This window comes from Homo sapiens, chromosome 5 (assembly GCF_000001405.40).
Source record: "Homo sapiens chromosome 5, GRCh38.p14 Primary Assembly".
NCBI lineage: Eukaryota > Metazoa > Chordata > Mammalia > Primates > Hominidae > Homo > Homo sapiens.
This window is the reverse complement of record NC_000005.10, coordinates 79,288,397-79,312,686: the sequence shown is the minus strand read 5'-3', so window position 1 is coordinate 79,312,686 and position 24,290 is coordinate 79,288,397. Positions and strand designations below refer to the sequence as shown.

General features: G+C 38.4%; 1 protein-coding gene across 1 annotated transcript in view; it reads right to left on the bottom strand.

Moving 5' to 3' along the window:
* JMY (junction mediating and regulatory protein, p53 cofactor) overlaps positions 1-24,290 on the bottom strand; it is a 91,081-nt gene that overhangs the window by 14,525 nt on the left and 52,266 nt on the right. The window contains exons 3-8 of the mRNA NM_152405.5: positions 22,416-22,566; positions 21,388-21,557; positions 12,369-12,534; positions 11,824-12,011; positions 6,226-6,312; positions 189-284 (exon numbers count right to left, since the gene is read on the bottom strand). Coding sequence (NP_689618.4) covers positions 189-284; positions 6,226-6,312; positions 11,824-12,011; positions 12,369-12,534; positions 21,388-21,557; positions 22,416-22,566 — 858 coding nt within the window. The remainder of the gene's footprint in view (positions 1-188; positions 285-6,225; positions 6,313-11,823; positions 12,012-12,368; positions 12,535-21,387; positions 21,558-22,415; positions 22,567-24,290) is intronic.

Genomic DNA, 24,290 nt, shown 5'->3' with positions numbered 1-24,290 from the left:
CGGAAAACCACCAGAGGAAATGGAGCCATGCCATTAAAACAATTTTAAAAAGGACTTCCATGGTTATAATAGTTTATAAATAAGGGAAAACCAAGTTTTTCCCACAAAGAAATCCTACAGGTGTATATGTAGCTCTGTTAAAAAAAAAAAAAAAAGAAAAACAATAAATGGACCATTACTTTTAATACCTGTTTAAATGTTCGAAGTCTATCCAGTGTTCTCTGTCTCTCTTGGCTAACCCAGGCACTTTTTCTTTCTTCTTCATCATGTAATTTTTCTCTCTTCTGGTAAAAAATTAATAATAATTCCATTATGCTGTGTCCCAATTTTTATCATTAATAGGAAAAAAGATGAGAAGTTATCCTAATGTGGGCCAAAGGGGATGATTCACTGAACAAAATTTTTTTTTGTTCATGAAACATGAAATATTTTTAATACTTCATGAAACATGAAATATGAAAGCATGAAACATGAAATATTTTTAATACACAGTTTTAGTGTAAAATACTTCTAGCTGCTATATTATGCTAACTTAAATGTAGATGACTTTAAAAAATAAAATCAGCAACCAGCCAGACACGGTGGCTCACACCTATAATCCTAGCACTTTGGGAGGCTGAGGCGGGTGGATCACCTCAGGTCAGGGGTTCGAGACCAGCCAGGCCAACATGGTGAAACCCTATCTCTACCCAAAATACAAAAATTAGCCGGTCGTGGTGATGCATGCCTGTAATCCCAGCTACTTGGGAGGCTGAGGCAGGAGAATCGCTTGAACCTGGGAGGCAGAGGTTGCAGTGAGCCGAGATAGTGCCACTGTACTCCAGCCTGGGCAACAGAGTGGGACTCTGTCTCAAAAAAACAAACGAACAAAAGCAATCAAATCAACAACCAATATAACCAGCAGTTAGAAAAATATTTTTCAAGCATTATCCATGAATCATCTGGTTTAGTATCACAGCTTATTTTTGGCAGTTATCTAAACAAACTTTTAATTTTCCCTATAGAGTTGAATCATCTAAAAGCTATATAATAAAATCTCATTTGGTAAAATTAATTTTAGTTAAATAAATGAAAAGGCTTTCTATATAGGTAAATGGGTTGTCTATTTTCTTGCTTTGTTTTAAAAAATTAGAGATACCTCCCAGAAGACCAGACCAGATAATTTCAAATGGAAATTAACTACCCTCTCTTCCATTGTTCTCCTGTCCTTTTCAGATCCAACCCCCCATTCTATTCTTCTATCATTTCTCTCCTCTTCCCCACCAGCTTTCCCTAAACAATATAATTTCTAATGAGAATTACTGTTGCATTTGCATTGGGTGATTGTATCATAAACTCTAACAAGAAAGTATGAGCAGGGACGTAAGGGTGGCAGGGAGACAACAGGAAACTGGAAAATAAAGCCAAGTGTGGTGGCTCATGCCTATAATCCCTGCACTTTGGGAGGCTGAGGCAGGAGGATTGCTTGAGGCCAGGAGTTGAAGACCAGCCTGAGCAACACAGTGAGACCCTATCTCTACCAAAAAAAAAAAAAAAAAGAAGGTGTGGTAGGCTAATTTTCTGAATAAAATGCAATCTAGTAATATACTACTAATTTACACAAAAGGACACAAAGATACACCACACATGAACACAATTCAAAAGGGCTCTTAGAGCCTGAAATAAGTTAGCATGTGCCCAAGACAAGCATACGCCACCATGCCCAGCTATTTTAAAAATTTTTTATAGAGACAGGGTCAGCCTGGTCTCGAACTCCTGGGCCCAAGTGATCCTCCTGCTTCGGCCTCCCAAAGGCTAGGATTACAGACAGGAGCCACCATGTATGTTTTCTTGAAGTGAAAGCCTGGAGTTTTGAGTGTACTTACAAAAAATAAGAGTTCATTCTTTAATGGGGAAAACAGAATTCTCTTATCCAATTTGAGCTAATAACAATTTAAAATAGTAGTATTAATAAGTAATCCTCATATTTTGTTTTAGAGAGTTTACTATCAAATATTAAAATAAACTTCCTTAGTCTTGCATATTTAATTCACAAGGATGTCCAGGGGAAACTGTTGCAATAATAAGGTTAACATCTAAGAATCTGTATTTTAAACAATCCACCACATAAGAGGTTCTGACACTGGTGGTTTAAAACTAGCATTGAAAAACAATGATCTATTTTGATCTAAGCTAACTTTCATTATGCTTTATCTGTATGTGTTAAAGATGACTAGTTATTTAATGGATTCATTCTCTGACAATTATATATTCCAACCAAGATATTAGGCAAAATTCTAAGGCAGATGACATTTATCTTTGGGATTACCTTAAGAATCAATTTCTTGGCCAGGAGTGGTGGCTCACACCTGTAATCCCAGCACTTTGGGAAGGCGAGGCGGGCAGATAACTCAAGGGCAGCAGTTTGAGACCACCCTGGCCAACATGGTGAAACCCCATCTACTAAAAATACAAAAATTAGCCAGGTGTGGTGGCATGTGCCTGTAATCCCAGCTACATGGGAGGCTGAGGCAGGAGAATGGCTCAAAGCCAGGAGGTAGAGGTTGCAGTGAGCAGAGATGGCACCACTGCACTTCAGCCTGGGTAGAGTAAGACTCCATCTCAAAAAAAAAAAAAAAAAAAAAAAAAAGGAAAAGAAAGATAATCGATTTACTAATTTTTACTCCTGTTGCCCCCAAAAAATAGATCTGGGAAAAAGATCTGATACTCATTCATTCTAAAAAGTTAATTAGTTCTTCCCCTCCACCAAAATCTTATGTTTTATAAAAAGAAATATATTGGAAGTGTGGAACCTTCATAAGTAAACTGATAATGCAAGTACAAATGGTTATAGCAGGGAGCAACTTACCTCACTGTCATGCTGGTCCCCTGACTAATCTTATAAAGCAGTTTCTGACCCACAGAAACAGTAATGAAAAATAAAAGTACATTAATTAATCTATTTCTAGATTCTAGGAGAAAGGTAATCTTATAGTTTATGGGTAGTTTGGCTAATTTTATGTGGTTAAAATGAAGAGTAAGGGGCAGCATTAGCTAAGAATGTGCCTTAAGGAGTAATGGAGACAAATTTAAGCCCTTTGGCCTTTAGTATGATGCTAAAGACAGAAAATTTTAGAAATATCCAAATACAGAGATATGGTCATGTTGGCATTTCTGATATTTAAGTACAAATTACTGGTGTTAACTAATTTAAGACACATCTGTAAAGATGACTGTCAGGATAATATATATTGTGTGGGATGCGGCACAGCAATATGGGAGTAGGAGAAGGTTTCTAATGTAACTTTATATAAAGTGAACTAATATTCTCAGCAACCTAGGAATAGAGGGGGAACTTCCTAATATTCTTAGCAAACTAGGAATAGAGGGGGAACTTCCTCTACTTGATAAAGAACATCTATCCCAAAACCTACAGGTAACATCACACTTACTGGTGAGAAACTAGAGCTTTCTTGCTAAGATCAGGAACAAGACAAAGATGTCCCCCTTACCACTCCTTTCACCATTATACTGAAGTGCTAGCTAATGCAATAAGAAAGAGAAATAAAAGCTATACAGAAATAAAACTGTCTGAAGACAGATGTAGAAAATCTGAAAGAAAACTGACAAAAAAAATCTAGATTATAGATTATTAAGAAAAAGCTTAATTAACAAAAGTCAATTGTTTTGTAATACACCAGCAATGAACAACTGGAGTTTTCAATTAAAAACATAATACTATTTATATTACCACCTCCCTGACAAAGAAGAGGAAGAAAGACTTAGGTATCTTAGGTATAAATCTTACAAAAGGTGTACAAGATCTTTATGAGGAAAATTATAAAACTCTGATGAAAGAATCAAAGAATTAAATAGATGAAAAATATTCTTTGTTCATGGATAGGAATATTCAATGTTAAGATGTTAGGTGTAGGAGAAGGCGGTAGAGGCTAAAATAAACATAATAATTAAAAAGCAAAAAAACTAAAAGAAGAAGTATTTTAAAATGAAAAAAACAAAAAAGATATTAGGTCATCCCTACTTGACTTATAAATTCAACACTGTCCCAATCAAAATCCCAGCAATTTTTTTGTGGCTACTGACAAGCTGATTCTAAAGCTTATATGGAGAGGCAAAAGACCTAGATGAACAAAACAAAATAGGACACCCAAAAATAGACTGAAGAGACAGAATCATCTGATCTTTGACAAAGGAACAAGACAATTCAATGGAGAAAGGACAGTCTTTTAAACAAATGGTGCTGGAACAACAGGAAGTCCACAAGCCTAAACTAGACACAAACCTTATACCCTTCACAAAAATTACCTCAAAATGGATCACAGACTTAAATATAAAACACAAAACTATAAAACTCCTAAAAGATAACATAGGAGCAAATCTAGCTGATTTGGGGACTGGCAATGACTTTTTAGATGCAACACCAAAGGAATGAACCATGATAGAAAGTGCTGGTAAATTGGACTTTGTTAAAACACTTCTGTTCTGCAACAGACACTGTCAAAAGAATGAGAAAACAAGCCACAGATCATGAGAAAATATTTGCAAAACAAAGGGACATATCTGATAAAGGAGTGTAAGCCAAAATATATGAAGAACTCCTAAAACTCAACAATAAGAAAATAAAAATCCAATTTAAAAAATGAGCAAAAAGGCTAGGCACGGTGGCTCATGCCTGTAATCCCAGCACATTTGGAGGCCAAGGAGGGCAGATCACTTGAGGTCAGGAGTTCAAGACCAGCCTGGCCAACATGGTGAAACCCCATCTCTACTAAAAACAAAAATTAGCTGGGCGTGGTGATGCATGTCTGTAGTCCCAGCTACTCAGGAGGCTGAGACAGGAGAATTGCTTGAACCCAGGAGATGGACGTTGCAGTGAGCCGAGATCGCGCCACTGCACTCCAGCCTTGGTGACAGAATAAGACTCCAAAAAACAAAAGAGCAAAAGATCTGAACAGACACCTTACTAGAGATATATAGAGGGGCAAGTAGGCATTTGGACAGATGCGCTCTTTCGCTCTCTGTATATGTATCTATTTATCTATATATCTGCATTAAAGATTTGCAAATTAAAACAACAGTAAAAGCCAGGCACAGGAGTCCATACCTGTAGTCCCAGGAGGTTAAAGCAGGAGGACTGCTTGAGCCCAGGAGTTTGCGGCTAACCTGGGCAACCTATCAAGACTCCATCTCTTAAACACACACACGCACCCACACACACCAAAAGATACCACTATACACCTGTCAGAATGGCTAAAATTCAAAAACGTAACAACAGCAAAATGCTATAGAGGATGTGGAAAAACCTGAACTCTCACTCATTGCTGGTGGGAGTTCAAAATGGAACAGCCACTATGGAAGACAGTTTTGCAGTTTCTCACAAAACTAAATACACTCTTACCATACTCTCCAGCATTCATGCTCCTTGTTATTTACCCAAATTGGCTGAAATTTATGTGCACAAAAAGCCCTCCATGGGTGTTTATAGCAGCTTTACTAATTGCTGCCAAAGCTTAGAAGCAACCAAGATGTCCTTCAATAGGCACATGGATAAACAAACTGAGACATCCACACAATGGAACATTATTTGGTGTTAAAATGAGCTATCAAGCCATGAAGACATGGAGCAACCTTAAATGCACGTTACTATGTTAAAGAGGCCAACTGAATAGGTTACATACTGTATCATTCCAACTATACATTGGTAAAGGCAAAACTATGAAGACTATAAAAAGATCAGTGTTTGCTAGGGGCTTGGGGAGAGAGAGGGATGAGTAGCGGAACAAAGGGATTTTTGGAGCAGTGAAATTATTCCATATGATACTATAATAGCAGATTCATGTCATTATACACTGTCAAAACCAACAGAACACAAAACACCAAGAAAGAACCCTAACATAAGCAACAGATTTTGGGGAATGGTGATGTTCAATGTTTCACTGATTTTAACAAATATTCCACTCTGGGGGATGTTGACAGTGGAAAGGCTATCAAGTGTGGGGACAGGAGTATAGGAGATGTTGACGGTAGGGGAGGCTACGTGTGCGGGTTGAGGGTATAGGAACTCTGTATTCTCCAATCAATTTTGCCTAAAAACTGCTCATTATATAAACTGAACTAATGTTAACATGCAGTTATAAGTTTTTTTATCATTCTCTACAGATTTTATCCACTCTAAAACATGCAAAAAAATTAAGTTTTGTTCAAAATCTTCGAATCCAAACTTACTAGTTGTACTGTGTGATGGGTTCTATATTCATCTTCAATCCGAGTGCGCTGTTGGATTTTTTCATTGTGTTTTGCAATACATATTTCCTGTAAATACATAAAATGTGTTTTAATACAAGTGAAACTTGAAAGACTCTGAACACCACACCAAGGTTAAATTTTGATCTTAATATATACCACCTACAGAACAAAGTATCACATTGACCACCTCTTGTTTCTTATTTGGACAACTGAAGCTGTAAAAGCCAAGTAATCAGGATCTTACGAAAAGACTCCTCTATGAAACTATTAACTTCTATAGACCTCCTGGTTTCTCTTTTTTGAAGGAGGAGGGATGGGGCAAGGTGGACTGAAGGGGGTTGTCCTGAAAGGTCTCTTTCAGATCTGAAGTCTGCATCCAGAAGATTCCACATCTCATTATACTTTTTTCTGAGAGATGGGGGTCTCACTATGTTGCCCAGACTGGTCTTGAACTCCTGGCCTCAAGTAATCCCCCTGGCTCAGCCTCCTGAGTTACTGGGATTACAGGCATGAGTCATGGCACCTGGCTTCATTATGCTCTTTAAACATGTCTGGGCAAAAAAGAATATGAAAGTATTTACTTATATAAAATATGTATTGTTAAGCTCCCTCTGACAAGTTAAAGACCATGAATTTTTTGTCCAGACTGGCTTAAACAATATGAGATCTGAATCTTTTGGTCGCAGACATAAGAGCTGCAAGAGACCTGGAAGACTAGAAAGTCAAAATTATCAAAATTATTTAGAAACTATGAAAAAAAAGCATATATTTTCCAATCACCATATAAAACAGGATTTTTGCAATAACTGTGAGATATGCACTACTTTATAAAATTATGCACTATATTCTGGTAACTTTTTACCAGTACCAAGCTAAATCTTCATTTACCCTGTGTCCTTTCCTAAGGAAACTATTTGGAGAAGTTTTCCAGATAAAAGGGTTAGTCTCCAACATTCCAAAGCTATACTAAAATGATCACTTTTTTTTTTTGAGATGGAGTCTCACTGTTGCCCAGGCTGGAGTGTGGTGGCATGATCTCTGGCTTACTGCAACCTCCGCCTCCCAGGTTCAAGAGATTCTCCCATCTCAGCCTCCCAAGCAGCTGGGACTACAGGCGCATGCCATCACGCCTGGCTAATTTTTTTGTATTTTTAGTAGAGACGGGGTTTCACCATGTTGGCCAGATTGGTTGAACTCCTGACCTCAAGTGATCTGCCCACCTTGACCTCCCAAAGTGCTGGGATTACAGGTGTGAGCCACCATGCCCAGCCTAAAATGATCACTCTTTCAATTAGAGAAAGTCAAATAATAACCTTTGAAGTCAGTAAACTGTTATTTTAAAGCAAAATGTCATTTTTTACTTCATGTTCTTTACCCACTCTGGTTCACTCTATTGCCTATCAAGAATCTATCCAGTGCAATGGGGAAAACAAAGGGCGTGTTAGATAATGTCATGACTTGGTGATACAGTAACTCAGGTCTCTGAGTGTCTAGGACAGAATCCTACCCCTGCTCCATATTAGCTGCTTTTCCTTAGGTGATTTATGTCACTACCAGAAGCGTTGGTTCCCTTGCTTATAAATGAGGATACAGGTCCACAATCCCTTATCTAGAACAGAGGTCAGACATGTTTTGAAATTCAAAGTTTTTTGATAATTTAGAGAATGGTGTTAAGTTGTATATACCATATATATCCTAATAAGCAAGATCTGAAACCATATCCCATAATAAGCAGTAATAGTTAAATGAATTGTCAAAGTGAGAATAAGATAATAAATAACTTCATGTTAGCTCAGGTCTGGTTTTGCCACCAAATGAAGTATGAAAATGATTCTAATTTTCTGAGCTCTCTGGATTTCATTTGACTACTGGGAGAATTAAAGAAGATAAAAAACAAAGAAAATTGTTATTTTTGTTACTCTTCTTGAAATGTTTAATCACAAAGCATTGACTTCACCAGCACAGCCGGGGACCACCTATCTCCACTCTTTCAAGGGGTGAGGCAGGACATGAACTGTGTATGCAATCTTAAGATGAGTGCCAGAGAAACCAAGAAGCCAGTGACCTTGGGCATGTTGATATGTAAACAAGGGAATATAGGATTATGTTACATAGGGAGACATTTGTTTTTCCTTGTATATTTGATCTTCTCAGTAGCTTTTCTTTTTAGGACTTAGTGTTTTGCATTTCCTATCTTTTCACCACCCTTCCTTATTTCACTACTCCTTCCCTCTGCAGTTCTGCCACCTCAGTTGCTGGGCTTGGGGTACAGGCACACAAGTGTAAATGGAGAGATTCTCCAAGGCTGGGTTTCCCTACTTCAGATTTAGATTAACACAGAAATGAAGACTGAAGAATACTGATTAAATTGCTATGAGCTAACACTTATCAACAAGGGAAGAGCTGGTATTAAGCCGGTATTAAGTTCAGCCTGAAGCTCTTAATACTGCTAGAAGAGTACACAGCTCTGTGGGCCATGGTCACCAAGGTTGCTCCTCTTCACCCCTCACCTGTACAGTTTCCTTTGCTATTCCGTCAGTCACTGCTTTAAACCTCTGCTGCACTCCCTTCTCAGACCACCAAGATCTACTCCTTGCCCACAACTTTTCTCGAAACTCTGAACATAAGGCCCCAATAGTCTCCCAATATTGGATGTCATGGAGTCATTTCTTTCTTCCTTTACCTTTCTGGAGCACCTGAGCCTACTGACCATCCTGTTGTGTGGAATCATCATCTTCACTTCTATGACTTCGAGCTCTCCTGCTTCTTCCAACTTCGATTACCCTTTCTCTTTGATCCCGTTCTTCTGCACACACTTTCAAATGTTCCCCAGTGTTCTTTCCTTAGAGCCTTTCTCCTCGCACTACATCACAGCAGCTCAGTCTTTCATAGCCTGTGCCCTTTACAATGCTTTCTCACCCCTAGCCAAGAACGTTTTGCTTCCTGAATTACAAATATTAAATACAATGAAGGTTTTTCTTCCTCAAACTATGTATCTATCCTGCTCCACCACCTTCCCTTGCTCTTTCCTATCAGCCTCCCACCTCCACCTCATCATTCCTAAGAACACCCTCCTCAGGCTGGGCACAGTGGCTCACACCTGCAATCCCAGCACTTTGGGAGGCTGAGGATTGCTTGAGCTCAGGAGTTTGAGACCAGCCTGGGCAACATAGTGAGCCCCTGTCTCTATAAAAAAATAAATAAAATATTTTAAAAATCACCTGCTCAGTATGTTGTTCTGAGACCATCTCATACACTCTTATAAGACCCAGGTGCCCAATTGTCTCAACTGTCTCACAGCCATCTCTACCTGGATGCCCAAGACCTCTTATATGCAAGTCTAAAACTCAGCTTATCACCTCCCACCCATATGTGCTCTTCCTCTGGGTTTTCCATCTTGGTTGGTGACACCATCATCTACCTCAATGCCCAATCCAGAAACCAGAGGGTTGATAGAGAATGGCTCTTCCTCCCTCCTTCACCACATCACTAAATCCTACTAACTTTTTCTGCAAAGTGTCAGATCTAGACAGTTCAAGATTTGTCCATCTCTTACCCTGCACAGGCACCCACTTACTTCATAGTCTTAACCTCTCAACCTTATTGAGGTGGAGGATAATGACACCTTCCAATCAGAACCTTTCCATCTCTTCTCCCTCTAACCTATTTTTCATGCTGCCTTATCTTGCTAAAATGTGAATCTGTTCATACTACCCCTTTGCTTAACTTATACTACAGACAAAGCTCAGGCTTGTTAATGTGGTATGTAAAATTTCCCATAACTTGGTCCCCGCCCTGCAGCATGTCTTACAATGTAGAATGCTCTGACAAACCATGCTGTTTTCTGCTTCAGTGTCTTTGCTAAAAACTATTCTGTCCTGCTTGTAATTACCCCAACACCATCAATCTGGCCAATTTCTATTCAGATGTTAAAAGCCAGTACAAGTGTCATCTCTTCAGAGAAGCCTTTCCTCACTCCCTGCTCTTGCTGTTTTTGGCCGGCAGAACACTCATCTGTTCACCTGGTTTGCCTTCTCTAAAAGACTAGGAGGAGCAGGGACTATGCCTTGCTCATCTTTGTATCCTAAGTCTAACAATGTGCCTAGCATACTGGTGAATTAAAATGAAATCAGACTTTCAATTAAGTCTGAATTGCATAGCATTTTCAAAAACTTGCAGGTTTGCAAATTCCGAGTCTCAAAAGTACTGCACTATACACCTAAAAGTAATATATAAAATACTCCTAATATTCCTCAAAAATGTGCTCTTCTGAAATCTTATTTACTTTTCATTCTCCCCTAAAACTGTTCTATAAGACCTGCTGAAATCACTGCAATGTTTTTTTTTTTTTTTTTTTGAGACGGAGTTTCACTCTTGTTGTCCAGGCTGGAGTGCAATGGTGCCATCTTGGCTCACTGCAACCTCCACCTTCTGGGTTCAAGCGATTCTCCTGCCTCAGCCTCCCGAGTAGCTGGGATTACAGGCGCGTGCCACCATGCCTGGCTAATTTTTTGTATTTTTAGTAGAGACAGGGTTTCACCATGTTGGCTGGTCTCGAACTCCTGACCTCAGGTGATCCACCCACCTCAGCCTCCCAAAGTGCTGGGATTACAGGCATGAGCCACCGCGCCCAGCCTGCAATGTTTACCTGGTTGGTGCAGATTGGAACGTGAAATGAAGCTCACAACCAGGGCTGACACAGCAGTGGGTTTCAATTACCACTGTCACGGGGAAATAGCAAAGGCACATAATTATGTGAAAGCCAGGGCTCTGGATGGCAAGGTAACTGTTCTGTTGATGGACAACGTGATAGAAGGTCCTGGGTTCTTGACTTACTGTGGATACATGCCTGTCTGAGTTTCTTTAATGTGCAAGAGCTATCTATTTCAAAAAGCAAAGGTATTGATTTTCTGTGGAATGAGGAAGTGGTAGCCTTGGAATGTGGTGAAGAGCAGGAAGGTGGGTTCTCAGAGAACATGACATACTTTTATAATACTTGAGCTTAAAGCGAATCAGTACCACACAGTCATCAGTTTGGTCTAGGTTGGAGAGCTAGTTCCAGATTCCAACTCTACACTTACAGTGACTAGAAACAGCTCCACGATAGTTAACATCTGGACTAGAGTGCAAAACATTTTTTAAGACACAGGAAGAATCACATTTCCACAAAATGAGTCATTCCAAATATCAAGAATCAAACATTCTAAAATGTAATCAAAGTTAAATAAAGAAATAACAATCTATAAAATTCTTTAAGGTCAGAATCAGGGCTTGTAAAAAACATCGCTGGGCCTCCTTAAATAAAAAGGGAGCCAGGAATCACATTATCAGGGATCCTGTAGTCAAGGCCTTTAGCAGAGTCACCATTAGTGTTTCTAGAGGTAAAGAGAACATCACTATTGGCTGTTCCAATGTGTTTAAGAGGGCAATTCTCAGAGCACTATAAACGCATTGAGCACTGATAAGAGATAGTGCTTACTTAGTTTTAAAACATAAGCAAGTTTTAAAGACAAAACAGATGAGATTAGTAGATACGGATAAAAGACTAAATAATGAACAAAAGCAATATTTAAATACCTTTTTATTTCTGAGGTAGGATTTCTTGGCAGAAACCCGTCCACGTCTTGCTTCCAGCTGGCGTGCTTTCTGCTGAAGTTTCTGCAGCTCTTCTCTCTGTAAGTACGCAGATGCTGCCATCTCTTCCTTCTCCAGCATGGCCTCCATGCTTTCGTAAGTGTCATAGTATACCACTTCATCTCTTTTTTCTGTTACAGAACAGCAAAAAAGAGTAGTGGTAAAGAATATGGGCTAGGGTTTGGAAAGAACAAGGTTCTAATCTCATTACTGGCTCTGCAACCTCAGGCAAAGCCATTATCTCTTAAGCTTCTTTGTAAGTGGTGATTATTATTTAATACACCTCATAGAGTGAATGTATGCAAAGTGTTTAGCAGTATCTGGCAAACAGTAAGTGCTCAATAAATGCTAGAAATCACCCCCCCACACTCTATCCCTACAGAAAACAATTTTTTAAATGTCTTAACAAAAGAAACATACCTAGTCCATAAGTATTTTCTCATGTATTCAATCTTTGGTGAACTTATGTGGTTAAATGCACGCCATACCTGATATAAGTCTTTTGATGCTTTCTAGTTGCGCTGTCAATAGTAACTCTTCACACTTCAAGATTTCAAACTGTACTTCATACAACTGAAGTTGCAGATCATAATAATCAGCTTCTAACTGATCCAATCGTGCTATCGCTTCTGTACCACCCCGCAAACTCTGCATCTGCATTGAAAATACAAATTAAAAAATTTCTAGCTGGTGGGGACAAGAAAATTGAGTTAGTATTAAAAATTAATACTAATCAGATAGCATAAACCTATTAAGTAATTCCTCTCAGAAAGAAACTTGTAGGCATGGAATCTAGACTTTAAAAATATATATATATATATGTATAAAACAGTAATAATCAAGTCATATTATATGGTGGAAGTAGGCAAACATGGTAAAAATAAGGTTTTAATGTTTATGTTATACTTATGCATATTTATGGTAATAATATATGTATCATCTGGATATAAATGCTTTCCCTCTCAAAAGTGGATGCTAAGTTATGTAGTTGTTCTTTTCACAGAGATATATGAAAATGACGGGGCTATTCTCAGATATTTACAAGAATGGTAAAAGCTGGTTAATGCCACATATCTGGGGTTTTGCTTTGCTCCATGGTCACAGACTGGCTAGGTTCTGGGATCTGCTGACTATAGAGTGAGGTGAGAATATGTGACTGGAACAGCAGAAGACAATTGCTTTAGATGGAAATCCTTGCAATCCGTAAGGTGTCACTTTAGGTAAATGTAATCAACGTCCTAGGCTGAACTTAAAGTGAGATCCAGAAATTTCTGGGCATGGCTCATAAAGTGAAGGATGGTCTTCTGTGAGGTTTGCTTGGTTGGTCAGTTCTCGGTGCTGGAGTGGGAAAATTTTTGCCAGGAATGAAGGAAACCACCAAGGGGAAAGTGTACTTTAGATAACTGGTTCCTAACCCTACTATTTCTATGGCTTTCTATTTGGCTGTACGGAAAAAGGCAGATAAAAGAAGCCAAAGGAATGGCTTTTCAAGAGTCAGTGAGATGTGAAGGACAAGCATAGTTCTCTAGAGTGAGACAGTAAGCATTCTTCCAAGAACATAGCACCACTGCTTTGGTAGTTTAAAGGTTCATGCTTAGCAGCTCCAGGAAAGCCCCGATACGGGCATCAGTGTGCCCTCAGAGCCAAAGGAGCAATAGTGAGGAGCCCTGGATTCAAGTGGCTTCCCAAGGAGTGACCTTCAAAGGAGGAGACGAGAGGAACAAAAGGGAAAATTATTAAGAGTATTGTTTACGAGCTCATGTGAGACATCACTGGGGTCCCAGAATACCAAAGAAATACTTGACTGGCTGTACAGGGACAACCTACAGGGAAAAAGACAGTGAATTCTTATTTTCCTAAATGATCCCTTTTGTCTGGCGAGGTTGGTAAAACCTGTCAGCACATAAAAAGAATACGTTTTAAAGAAAATTCCAGCTTTTGCTTTACAGTCTATATATCTACACAGTCTTACCCAATAATTAGAATATTTTTCCTTAAAATATAATTTCAAATCCCTTTCACAAGAATTTTGAACTGAAAAGCAATGGTTAGGCTCCAGTCTAAACGTGCAGTTGTAAAAATTTAAAAATAACCAGGTGAATTAAATACAGTGGTACTTTGTTTTATGAATATTTTATAAACGGATACTTAATAGATTATCTAAGTGTAAGACTGTGAGTGATCCCGCTGTGTTAGGAAATATTTTATGGGTGACAAACAACGTATATAACCCCAAAGTGGGTTTAATTATAGCAGCTAGGGAGGGGAATGTGAACAATATGAACTGTTGTTTTTGTCCTAAGTCATAAAATAAGAACCAAGGAATAATGTCTACCTTGAGACTCGTGGACTCGCCACTTTAGATGATAAACATCCCTTTTCATACTCTCTTGGGGCTCTTGCCCAGCTCTGCAAACACAGCTGTAGGATATACATTGTTCCAGTATCTGCACCCACACTCTCTATTACCACAGCATACAAACAGGTAAGATATCTAATGTTAGAAGGCTTTATTCTCAAGTGGGGAATCGTTAAGTTAAAACCTTAGTGTAAACCAGTCTAAAAACCTTAATCTAAGATTACTTTCCAGTGATATTGTTCAGATCCAGGCTGTGAGTTCATTTTCACTACTCTGGTTCTACCCAACTAAGTGACCATTTTCTGCTACGTTCATGATGCTCTGCTAAGTTCTTCCCCTAGCACTCTGTAAGTTTCTCTCTCCTGCCCAATCTCTTGGCTAAGGAAAAAAGTTGAAAGTCCCCCAGTGACATGCCTTTACGCTGTCAGCTTTCTCAACCACAAAGAGAACAGTACTCTGACTGCAGCCCAGAGCCAGGGTACTTTAAAAGCACTTGAGAAGCGCAGTGCTACCAGCACACACTCAATATCAAAAATCAAACTGAGAAAGGAAGTAGGTATTCTCTTACAAGCAGTGACCTCACCCTCAATTTTTTGGTTCGGTGAGTTCTATCTAGACCAAGAGTCCAGACGTGGATTTGCCAAGGGCTGTGGTCTAAAGATAACCAAAACCTCATCAGAGGCAGACAAGCAGTGAAGGAGTCTGTTAAATCCCAACCTCTGAAAGGACAAACAATAGGTCAGTGGTGGACTTTGGGAAAAGCTAAAGGGTTGTAGAACCAGAACATACAGGACTTTTATGAGATCAGCAAAGGAGAAAAGGATGCTATGACTCAGAGAAATCTGTGAGGGCAAAATAATACTCTGAGGTCTATCTAATCTTCAATGTGGAGGCAAAATCCTTAGTATAAGGCATGAAGAGGTATGGAGCGGGCACCCTGCTCCAAATTTCCTCCCTGTTTTAACATCTGAAATTTCCAGACTGAGTTTTCCTGTCCTCAGCTGACAGCCACAGAACTAAGAGAAACAGAATCCAGGGTGAAAAGAGAACTAATTCCAGATAATGGAGCAGTGCAGGGAAGGTGGGTGCCACAATGGGGTGTCTTTTTTATATCTGAGAGCAGTGCTTCCCTGGGCAAGAAGAAAGAAGCCCTGAAAGTAGTTTAAATACTCAAAGGAAAAATTGGCCATCTTAAAATTTAACTTAGCTCAACTTTTACTCTCCTAAACATACTTCAAGTATCAGGATACCAGTACCCCAAACCAAATTGTAACCTCCCAATGTGATCCAGGTAATGACTAGCAAAGTTTGAGCTAGACTCAGTTCTCCTGATTCCTACAAGAGTGCTCTTTCCACTAGAAAAAATTAGGGATTACCAGCCCAAAAAGACGGAAAAATATCAAAGTGTTATTGTTATTGTTTTACAGCAAATCTAGTAAGGGGATGAAGTACCAATTCATGTCCATACATCCATGTAAGTACAACATACCCTGCTGACTCCACAATCATTCTCACCATGTGTAATAATGATAAAGTAGTTTTCATGTATACCTATTTTGACTGTACTTTATCATGAAACCAGATGGCACTTTTTGCAAACTATGCAAATGAATTATGCCCTTGTTCTGCCTTTTACCCTACTGTGCTAGAAAATTCCAATGACATTAGAGGAACTATTAAAAGAGCTACCTGTGGACTGAATCATTCATTCAAAAAATACTCACTGAGCATCCACCACTGTTTGAGTTACAGAAAATATGCAGTCAACAAGAAATGAAATGAGGGTTCGAAAATAAGTCATAGCTAGGCATAGTGGCATGTGCCTGTAATCCTAGTGACTTAGGAGGCTGAGACAGTAGGGACTCTGAGTCCCAGGAGTTTGAGCTTGTGGTGAGCTATGATCGTGCCACTGCACTCCAGCATCGGTGACAGGGCAAGGCTATATCTTTTTTTTAAAGGGTCATAAAAACCTTGGACAGCATAAGGTGAATGATGTTAAGGGCAAGTTTTCAACCAAAACTAGCCCTATTATGTAGAAAGAATGAACATGAGAATTAGTAACAGACAAGCCTGAGTATAAATACAGGTTTCACCAGTAACAACTGCACAAATATGGGTAACACAAGTTGACAGAATTATCTGAATTCCACATGTCAGAAATCCTGGAAAATGGAAAATTCCCATAATTTAATGTCAAACCAAATCTCACAATCCATTTGTGGAAAAATGTGATCTGAACTTTTCATAAACTATTTTTAATCCTTAGGTATTCCATTTAATGTGACCATGTGTTTCATTAGTGGACTAATAACACTTGTCTGAAGTTATATGCTCTATCTTACCTTTCTAAAATCTAAAAAAACCCTGGGATTCTGAAATATATCTGTCTTCAGGGAATTCAGATAATGGTTTTGGGCTTATAGCATAAAAGGTTATGTTTGAGAATTTAACAAGATAATACACATAAAGCACTAAGGACAGGGACTAAAACATTTTAAACTTTAACTGCTGCCAAAACAGAATTCATATGGTGAAAACAGAATTTAAGATAAACTAAGGCCTTTAGAGTGGAACCTACCTTTTTGTATTTAGACTCTTTGAAATATATAGTGTGCACCTATGGAATAATCTACTTATTGACAAATAAAATGAAAACTAAAAACCAATCTCCTTGCCTGGACAAGGACCTCAAAAACCCCACCTCAGCTCAGACTCAGGCTGTGTCTACCACATCACAGCTTCTTACTATTGGAAGTTTCTGGCAAGGCCCATACAAAATGTCACATCACCTAGTCAACAGCATGCTTTGTGAACCCTGAAATGTTGGTTGAGGCAAGTAAACATCTTAAGCATGGAAATTATGTATCTTTTTCTTCTCTGTATTCCCTTCTGGGATACTGGCACAAAACATAACATACAATTATAGTAATAATCACTAATATTTATCCAGGTCTTACTCTATGTCAAGTGCTATAGCAAATGCTTTATATGCATTAACTCATGAAATCATAACATTCCAGAAGGTATATAATATTTACATTTCAAAGACAGGTTAAGGAACTCACTGAAGCTTTCCTAAAGAGTTAAGTTTGCAGAACTGAGATCTATAGAGGTGCTCTGTTCAGTAAGGTAGCCACAAGCCACATGTGGTTATTTAAATTTAATTTAAAATGCTGTTCCTCTGTTGCATAAGCCTCATTTCAAAAGCTCATTAGCCACATATGGCTGAAAACTACCCTACTGGAGAGGGTAAACATAGAACATTTCCATGATTACAGGGCGTTCTGCTGGACAGCACTGTCCAAATCCTAAGCTCATATCCACCATGGTATATAATCAATGCTCAATAAATACTTGACGAATTAAAACTGAAAGAGGGGAATATAACCTTAGTTAATCATAATTTAGCTACATGCTTGTAGGAGAAAGACAAAAATAAGTAGCTAATCTTCAAGACTAGTATGCATTCATATTCTATTAGATTATGTATGTTCAGAGAAATTATCAAGGAATTATAAATAGATGGGGAATTGTTAAAATCCTCTGCCAGGGAAAGAAAGCACACTGATATACCTTTTTTTTTTTTTTTGAGACAGAGTTTCACTCTTGTCGCACAGGCTTGAGTGCAGTGGCATCATCTCGACTCACTGCAACCTGTGCCTCCTGAGTTCAAGCTATTCTCCTGCTTCAGCCTCCCGAGTAGCTGGGATTATAGGTGCTCACCACCACATCTGGCTAATTTTTGGTATTTTTAGTGGAGACAGAATTTCGTCATCTTGGCCAGGCTGGTCTCGAACTCCTGACCTCAGATGATCCGCCCGTCTTGGCCTCCCAAAGTGCTAGGATTACAGGCATAAGCCACTGCGCCTGGCCCTGATATACTTTTTAAAGTCTTTCAGCCACACGAATTGGAATCTAAAGGGTTTTCTGGTTAATCCCGGTTAACCACAAAATAGAAGTCTACAATTTAATCCAGATGTTTCATGATTTGCTTCATGATGGCTTTATTTCATTTCATTTTAATTTAATTTTATTTTATTTTAGACGGAGTCTCACTCTGTCGCCCAAGCTGTTGGAGTGCAGTGGCACAATCTCGGCTCACTGCAGCCTCTGCCTCCCAGGTTCAAGCGATTCTCCTGCCTCAGCCTCCAGAGTAGCTGGGACTACAGGAGCACGCCACCCACCTGGCTAATTTTTTGTATTTTTAGTAGAGACAGGGTTTTGCCATATTGGTCAGGCTGGTCTTGAACTCCTGACCTCAGGTGATCTACCCGCCTCAGCCTCCCAAAGTGCTGAGATTACAGGCGTGAGCCACCATGCCCAACCTCATGATGGCATTTTAATTTTATCATCATCTATTTCAATTAATAACTATATAGAAAATCTCCTTATTTCAACATTAATCCTTATTTTAATAACACTTCCAGCATATACTCTACTCCTAATCCTGTGTGGTTGTATGTATTTTAATCTTGTCCAATAGTTTAAAACAAAAAACGTAAGCTATATCTGATAACCTGGATTAACAATATAGAACTGAAAATAAAGACTTACTTGCATGGTCAGATTATGCTATTATTTCCAAATCTAGATGGGGAGTATACTATTGAAAGAGTAGAATAAAGTAGCTACAACTAGTTAAACTCACAAAGGATTCTTTCACAGGTATTGGGCTAAAAACACAGTATTTTCAGCAGTTTTGATGAGGAAATCAGAACATGGGCAGTCATTCTGAAATAAGAGGCTCAGATATAGATAATTTGAGAACCTACTAAAATTGTGTGCAAAATTGCATATATATGTACATTACTCTGAGTACAGGGTTGTCATATTCTTAAAGGGGCAAGAATGACCTAAAAGGGGTAAGAATGATTATAATTAAGACTCAGCGCCAGACGCAGTGGCTCACACCTATAATCTCAGAACTTTGGGAGTCCATGACATGAGGGGTCTCTTGAGGCCATGAGTTAGAGAACAGCCTAGGCAACACAGCAAGACTCTGTCTCTATTTTAACTAACTAAATTAATTTAAAAAAAAAAAAAAGTTAAAAAAAGTTAAAAAGTTAAAGGGGGTATAAATTAAAAGGAACAGTATCAACTCCTAAGAGCAGTTAATTCTTTCAAGTCAAACAGAATTTTGCCTGCTTAGGTAATATTTAATATTTCAGTGTTAATTCAGAACATTTATTTCAAGTATGGTATTACGCTTGTGGCAAATATTCTGAAATACTTTACATTTAATTTTTAAATTAAATTTAAATTAAAAACATTTTCATTTTTAGGGTTGTCTTAATTTTGTCACATCAAGAAGAACTTTGTTTTAAAAATAACCTATGGGGACAAATCACAGGGTAGTACTGTTTTGCAAAACCTCTACTGGCAAAGAACTGTTCTGGAATGGGCTTAATAATTCACATTTACTCTCTTTCTCATGAGTAATGTGGGCATGTTAAATTAATGCTAATAAAATTGGTACATCACCACACATAGATACAAAGCACAATACCTATCTAAATTATACACAAAACAAGCATAAACCTGGCAAGAATGACAGCTGGCAGTTTTAACAAATACTGTGAAGAATTCAAATACAATCCAGACTATTACATTAATGGGACAGCCCCAGGGAATAGGACCCCCCCCACTCCCCAAGATAATCATCTCAAACTCTCAGGACCCATTTCATGCTCGTTTTTCCTCTACTACTCTAGACCAACTACAGTAAGAGTAGTCAGAAATCTTACCCTCCCCTGCTCTCTTAGGCAGCTGTCCACTGACAGAATAACTCAGTGTTAGCCAGGTTAGAACAATAATGCTAGATAATATAATGAAGACGGGCTGGGCATGGACCTTAACTCCAGCACCTTGGGAGACAGATGCAGAAGGACTGCTTGAGCCCAGGAGTTCAAGATGAGCCTGGGCAATATAGGGAGACCTCGTCTCTACAAAAAAATAAGTAAATAAATAAAAATTTGCAAGGTGTTGGGGGGGGTGCGTGCCTGCTACTCAGGAGCCTGAGGTAGGACTGCTTGAGCCCCAAGAGGTCAGGGCTGCAGTGAGTTGTGATCGCACTCCAGCCTGGGTGACAGAATGAGACACTGTTTCAACAACAACAACAAAGATGAAGATAAAGGTGGTACTCTATTATAAGCAAAAAGAGGGACTTAAGTTTAAAAGTTCTAGAATTTAAGACAACTCCAGAGAGCCAGTAACATGAGGGGAACAAGCTAATTAGAAAAGGATATTATAGTAGAAATGCCTCAGGGGAACATGAGATGGGGATGAAATCCATGCACAGCGATTCTGAATATAAAGTGTGAACAATTTCCCGGATAAGCCAAGTTCCAATTTTACCTTCTAATAACCAGCAAATAAAAATAAGGGGGAAATGAAATAATGATAAAAATCCATCAACAAAAAGTGTATATGAGCATAAGCACTTCAAAAATGTCAATGAGAACCATCTTGCTGTACAACCTAAGCCAAAAAAATACATATTTTACATAATGCTGTATTCTTATAACTAAAGCAGAGATGATGATTTGTTCTTCTCTAGCAACTAAAATGTGCTACTTTAATAAATATGTACTCAGTGTTTTCAAGCCAATGAGGGCAGCCCACAAAATGGGTATGAATATTTATAACTGTCAATAGTAAAAAAGGATAGACAGTGACTGTAGCGGGTACAGAGGTGGTGGGAGATGGGGGAGACCAGTGTGTTCCAGTAGGAATAAAATGGGAAGTTCCAAAATGTAATGGTATAAAAGCATTATATAATCAATCCTAACAAAATGCCACTGCCTTAGAAATTTTACTGAATTTCTCTGGTCAGTGATACTTTCTTAATAATTGCTGGAAAGCTTTACGTTTTTACAGTATTAAAAACTTTACAGCAACTAAGAAATTCTGATGCTGGCCCCTCTGATCAACAGTGCAGTGCTGCCAACCATCACACTGTGATGCTGTGAAATACGCTACGTCTAACTCTTCTAATGACAACTTAAGTCACAGGACCTATTCTAAGTGTTTTCATCTCATGAAGATGGCATAAAATCACTGCCTATCGAATCAAAAAAATGTCTTGTGCAAAGATTAAAATGACAAACTGTAACTTTTTCTGATTTTATATTTCTGATGATTTTTGTTACCTCTTCCTTTAGTGCATGTTTCCGCTGTTCCAAGCATATCTCTTTAGCTCTCATCATCTGCAAAGTTTCCTTAGAAACTGCATACTGGAGTTTTTCCATCCGTTCAGCAGCCGCTGCCCATGATGCTTTACCAAATTTCTTCTGATCAGCTCGCATTCGATCATACACAGCTATTAATAATTTTTTAAAGAGAAATTAAGACAAATAACAACTTAATACTGAAGCATTTGAAAAAGATTTCACTGACCACACAAAGAGAAACAAATCCTGCTGTCATGATAAACTGCTTATAACTTTTTTCTTTTTTTCTTTTATGAGATGGAGTCTCGCTCTGTTGCCCAGGCTGGAGTGCAGTGGCGCGATTTCAGCTCACTGCAACCTCCGCCTCCCGGGTTCAAGCAATTCTCTGCCTCAGCCTCCCGAGTAGCTGGGATTACAGGCACCCACCACCATGCCCGGCTAATTTTTGTATTTTTAGTAGAGATGGGGTTTCACCATCTTGGCCAGGCTGGTCTTGAACTCTTGACCTTGTGATCCACCTGCCTCGGCCTCCCAAAGTGCTAGGATTACAGGCGTGAGCCACCGTGCCCGGCCGACATTTCTAAAACATAATTTGAGAGTATCTTAGATTCTAATGTCTTCAATCTGTCCTCAGAAATAACGTTCTGCAGTTAAAACACTTATAAAATTAGCTTTCAGAAACTTTAAAAATACTCTCACATGTCCGGTGTTATTAACTTTCAAAGTTTCCAGGAAAGCATTAATTCTGTGAGGTTTTATGGTTTTTTCCTCAGTATGTTAGTAGAAACACAATTATTTACTATTCATATTTAAATTATATATATTTAAATATATGTATCTATGAAAAGACTGATAGGATGTGCCTTAATTTGCTAATAGTGGTTTTCTCTAATTGCTGGGATTATGAGTGATCTTTATATACTTTTCTATGTAATTTTTCTGAACATAAAATACTTAACCACTCATTTTCAAAAATACCTAAAGGATAAATTTACTGAGAAACCTACCTTTTTGAGCTTTAGCTGTTATTTCAAAGTACTTGACAGTAAGATCTTGAATAGACAGTACAGCCATGTGAGCTTTCCGCTGCCAATCAGCATCTTCTTTTTGTAGACTCTCAATTCTTCGAGGTCCCAGATAATCATTCTCCATGGAAATCTTCAGAGAGAAAAAGAAAAAATTAAGAAGTTCAAGTCTTTCTTCTACTCATTCCTCAAACATTTAAAGTTTATATACCACAAAGAATACTTGTTCTTCCCTGCTCAAGAGGATAAGCTATTAGTTTACAAAACAAGTGAATTAACAATAATACTGAAGATATTTGACATAGAAACCTATTCCCCATTTTGCCCTTTCTTCCATCCCCCTCTCACTCCATACGTAGGCAAAGAATATATACCAATATGTTAAGACTGATTGTTTTTAGGTGTCTCGATGAGGAATTTATTTCCTCCTCTATGATAAAATATCTTTTTTGGTTAAGACTTATTTATGCCCCCCCCCAAATTACTTAAATTGTTTATTTCCTTAACAGCCACTATATAAAACAATTGAAAACCTGGATTTTCACAATGACAATATAAAAACCAGCCTATAGGCATACTGAAAAGACTTTAGATAACAATAACAGAGGAAGGCCAGGCACGGTGGCTCAGATAGCTGAAAATCAAAGGATGGACAGGAATGAACCAGGTGAATGCTAAAACAAAATTTAAAGAAGTGATAATATTAAAAGTATATTTCAAAACACTACATAAGTATGTTTTAACATGGAAGAAAGGTACAATCAAGAACTGCAATGGATCACTTATACATACAATCTTGCTTTACCATATACAGAGAAATAGCTATCAGCAAGTTATATATGAAGCCAATGACAACTTTATTAGGATAAATTAAAAAAAAAACAGGCAAAATGTTAACCCACCCATGACACACTTAAAAAAACACTGATCAAGTATAATTAAGCCACTAAAAAGCTAGTAATGAATTCTGAAGGTAGAAATAATACAACCCATATTCTCCTTTTTTTTTTTTTTTTTTTGAGACGGCGTCTCGCTTTGTTGTCCAGGTTGGAGTACAGTAGTGCGATCTTGGCTTGCTGCAACCTCCGCCTCCCAGGTTCAAGTGATTCTCCTGCCTCAGCCTCCTGAGTAGCTGGGATTACAGATGCCCGCCACCACACTCGGCTAATTTTTGTATTTTTATTATAGATGGGGTTTTGTCATGTTGGCCAGCCTGGTCTCGAACTCCTGACCTCAAATGATCCGACCGCCACAGCCTCCCAAAGTGCTGGGATTACAGGCTTGAGCCACCACACCTGGCCTACAACCCATAGTCTCTAAACAATGCTGTGAAAGGAAAATAAAATCTCAAGACCCCAAACTCACTATATCAAAGGGCAAGATAAGCTTGGGAGCTGAGTCACGCAAAAACTGCTTTCCTTTTGCTCCCAGACAGACAGGGAGGATTGCTTGTGACCAGGAGTTGGGAGACCAGCGTGGGTACCATAGCAAGACCCCATCTCTACTAAAAACAAACAAACAAACAAACAAAAAAAAACAAAACAAAACAAAAAGAATTAGAATACCAAAAAAACAAAAAAAAAAGTCATGAGTGAGCATGCCTAAGACATCAAGGGGAGCATCAGGTGTAGAAATCTGGGTGCAAAGTCTGGGCAGACTTTCGAAAGGGAATAATGAGTAATATCTGGAAATATTAAGAGTAGAATTTTATATTAACAGAATTTTAGCCAGATACTAAAGATGGTTAAGTGTGTCTCTGGGTAAAACACCTATGAGAAAAATAAAAGGTATTGTGGGGAAAGAGTATCATTTGTGTAGATGAGGACAAACTTCATTGAGGTTCATTAACTGCAGATG